At 33.6% G+C, this 4,130-nt stretch overlaps 2 annotated features.

Annotated features, from left to right (window-relative positions):
• Nucleotides 1,971-2,762: an enhancer, noted in NCBI's record as "OCT4-NANOG-H3K27ac hESC enhancer chr9:31632400-31633191 (GRCh37/hg19 assembly coordinates)". NCBI's record gives its function as "activates a minimal SCP1, AML or CMV promoter by ChIP-STARR-seq in primed H9 embryonic stem cells {active_cell/tissue: H9 hESC(primed)}" and the evidence as "EXISTENCE:reporter gene assay evidence [ECO:0000049][PMID:30033119]".
• Nucleotides 2,763-3,553: an enhancer, noted in NCBI's record as "OCT4-NANOG-H3K27ac hESC enhancer chr9:31633192-31633982 (GRCh37/hg19 assembly coordinates)". NCBI's record gives its function as "activates a minimal SCP1, AML or CMV promoter by ChIP-STARR-seq in primed H9 embryonic stem cells {active_cell/tissue: H9 hESC(primed)}" and the evidence as "EXISTENCE:reporter gene assay evidence [ECO:0000049][PMID:30033119]".

Here is a 4,130-nt window from a genome sequence, read left to right on the forward strand (position 1 = left end):
TGAAAACAATTGTCTCTTATGTGTACTTTAGTTTCATAATCATTTAAGCAGAAGAGCTACTCTGGTAAAAGTAACATCATGGCTAGTAGCAGAAATCTTCACAGTCTAGTATATTTTAAAAGCACAAATAGCTCCGTAAGAGGAGATATTAAAGTAGGTCATGAAAACAGGAAGGAAATAAGCCAAGGCCTTTTATTTAATTTTGTTTTATTTCAATTTTTGGTGGAGTCCTTCCTCTAAGATGCCTACATTCTTTTATCTATATTACAAATTATAATTTATAGATTATACAAATAAAACAAAATGTCACATCAGTAAACTTTGTCCATCTTATTGAATTTTACTTATTATCTTATTCTCAATGAAGGCTAGGTTTTCATGTAATCTTTAAGGGTACATCAAAAGCCAAAGGTATTCATCCAGAGCCAGTCAGAATATAATTTATTTTAAAGAGTTAACTTCAATTCAAAGAGATTAGTAGATGACATTTACCTTCAGTCTAAGGGAAAAAAATTTATGTGTGAAGAAATATTATAAAGGGAGTGTTGAATTGACTTACTATCTACATGTTCTATAGAGAGAATTTTGGAAATTAATTTCTTCTCTTCCACCTCGAGAATGGAAGTTTATTATGGGAAATAACTTGCATAGGGTGTTGGATCTTATTTAGTATTCCTCTAATTATCATTAGAGGAAAATGAACATATTTATGGAGTATCTGCTATGTGCCAACAATTTTATGTACATGGTTTAATTAACGATTTATATTAATTCTATAGTAACTAATTTGCCCAAGACCAAAACTAGTAGTTGGTATAGGTGATGTATAGAACTTCCATTTGAGCCCCAAAATAATGCCTTTCATATCAATTATGCTTCACTGAAAGGATTTAGAAATCAATTTTGTATTTGCTTTTTTAAAAAGTGAATTAAAGGGATGTGGAAGAAAATAAAAATTTGTTTACAGCATTGAGTGTAAATGTCTCTATTAGCTCACTAAGTGCTAATCCCTTTAAGATCCAGGATTGTGTATATTTTTATTAACTTCTAAGTACTTACGGGTGTGCTAGCTAACCCTCAGTTAATATGTATTCATTAACAAAACATATAATTTTCTAAGATTATGCTGGTATCACTATAATTGCTGTTTGAATGTTTTCTAGAAGTACCCATTTGTAGTATGAACAAAGAAGGATAGCTTTGTAAGTAACCCTAATTATATTCCATATTAGCATAACATAAGCTAAGACATAAGCAAAAGCATACTGGTATAAACAATAGGGCCAGTGCTAATTAAACTCTGAATTTATGGAAGATGACACATTTTCATCTCTAAAGTTAATCATTTTTTTAGCACTTGTACAACTGAACCTCATATGGCTGTCCAACACTATCTGAACTAGTATAAGCCACATGTGTCCTGATATACAAAAAAGAGGAATTGTTAAAATATGTTAGGAAATGTCTTTGCAATAGAACTTTATTTCACACACATTTTCTTGGGAATCATTTACTTGAGAAAGTATTGAGGATCGGCCAAAAGCTTCTGTTTATGTAAGTTGTATCTACTGATATTACCTCATTTGAAATTAAAACTGAAATTTTTATTATACTTATGAATGGATTTATCTTGAAATATCTGTATTAAGACACTAAAACATAAATTATAAAATTATATTTGTTGAAATACAATGTATGAAAAATAAATACATTTTAATAAAAAGTAACTATTTTGAAAAGTAAAAGTTTAGTTAGAAGAGTGACTTTTTAAATGTGTCTTTTCAAATGTTGTTAATATCTGACTTATGAGAAGACAGCCGGATAATCATATCGGCTTTTGTATTTAATACATTGCAACATGTTGTTTTAGTATATAAAGAAAATCCAGCCTCACTGAGATAAATAGTTGAAAATAGAAAAGTATTTTTAAATGTCTCAGATAATTGTGAATATCATTTTTGATGCTATACCCAAACTTGGCAAGTGGTAGTCCTTAAAAGTCACAATCTTGAATCTGAAATCATGTTAATGAACTTATACTTTGCTATATAAAAATCTATTGGTTCTTTTGTAGTCTGAATAAATATTTTACCTGAGAATGGTTTGGATCATTTGAAAAACGTTGGTATACTTAATTATACAGACAATCCAAATGTTGATGCATTTCATTATACCACATTTGTTAATATCACCATTTGATCTCATAAGAAAATATTCTAAGTATTTTTATGTTGAATTTTAAAATGTTGCCTTAATTTTAAAAAGATATTTTGACTAATTAGAATATCCCAAAGACAGAATTCATTTTGACAGATTCAAATTTTTCAAAATCCTAATTTTTGCTTGAAATTTTGAATTTTATCTTTGCCACCAATACTTGTTTTTCTGGAAATGACAAGCTCCTTTTGTTCATTTAAAAAAAAAAAGGCAATCAAATACCCAACTTTTGTAGGGGTGGGTTGCCCCTCCACACCTGTGGGTGTTTCTCGTAAGGTGGGACGAGAGATTTGGAAAAGAAAAAGACACAGAGACAAAGTATAGAGAAAGAAATAAGGGGACCCGGGGAACCAGCGTTCAGCATATGGAGGATCCCGCCAGCCTCTGAGTTCCCTTAGTATTTATTGATCATTTGTGGGTGTTTCTCGAAGAGGGGGATGTGTCAGGGTCACAAGACAATTGTGGGGAGAGGGTCAGCAGACAAACACGTGAACAAAGGTCTTTGCATCATAGACAATGTAAAGGATTAAGTGCTGTGCTTTTAGATATGCATACACATAAACATCTCAATGCTTTACAAAGCAGTATTGCTGCCCGCAGGTCCCACCTCCAGCCCTAAGGCGGTTTTTCCCTATCTCAGTAGATGGAGCATACAATCGGGTTTTATACCGAGACATTCCATTGCCCAGGGGCAGGCAGGAGACAGATGTTTTCCTCTTGTCTCAACTGCAAGAGGCATTCCTTCCTCTTTTACTAATCCTCCTCAGCACAGACCCTTTACGGGTGTCGGGCTGGGGGACGGTCAGGTCTTTCCCTTCCCACGAGGCCATATTTCAGACTATCACATGGGGAGAAACCTTGGACAATACCTGGCTTTCCTAGGCAGAGGTCCCTGCGGCCTTCCGCAGTTTTTGTGTCCCTGGGTACTTGAGATTAGGGAGTGGTGATGACTCTTAAGGAGCATGCTGCCTTCAAGCACCTGTTTAACAAAGCACATCTTGTACCGCCCTTAATCCATTCAACTCTGAGTTGACACAGCACATGTTTCAGAGAGCACGGGGTTGGGGGTAAGGTTATAGATTAACAGAATCTCAAGGCAGAAGAATTTTTCTTAGTACAGAACAAAATGGAGTCTCCTATGTCTACTTCTTTCTACACAGACACAGTAACAATCTGATCTCTCTTACTTTTCCCCACAAACTTTGAATAACCATATTTTTCTGTTAGTCAGTCATTCTTTTATGTAAAAATAATGTTCCAGGAAAAAAGGGGTGAGTTCTCATCTTCATTTAAACTATCAGTGTACAAATTCTTTTCCTTACAACAATTATAATATCTGAGAAAGTAAAAGTTCTTGCTTCATGCATATTCCTCATTTTGTCACACCATGGACTGTGCACCATCAGTACAAATATCAACAGAGAGAAAAGGCTAAATAATGTCTTAGTATTATTAGGAAAATAGTTTCCACTGAAAGGACTCCTTGCAAGAGTCTTAGGGATGCACAAAGATTTGTGGGCCATACCTTGTGAACTGCTGTGTTAGGTGATGCACCACGACCTTCACGGGCTTTCTTGCATGTCACGTCTACAGGAAATCTATAAGGTAGAAATTATAATTTTTTTGCATTTTACACATTTTCTTTTATTTTATAGATAAGAGTACTATACTGTATTTAGAAATATTCAGTAACTTACTCACTCTGCTAACAAGGCTCTCCCAGGATTAGACATGAATTTTACTGTATAAGCTATGGTTTTGTTTTCAGATAATCAATAATTAAGTCAAACATTTTACTATTGATTCTTTTCTGTGCATGGTGTTTATACATTTTTTAAGAGTTTACTACCCTGGTGCTTATATTTTACAAACTCAATTTTCCTGTATTACACAATACTCTCAGTTTAGTCTCT

This window comes from Homo sapiens, chromosome 9, assembly GCF_000001405.40.
Source record: "Homo sapiens chromosome 9, GRCh38.p14 Primary Assembly".
Taxonomy (NCBI): domain Eukaryota; kingdom Metazoa; phylum Chordata; class Mammalia; order Primates; family Hominidae; genus Homo; species Homo sapiens.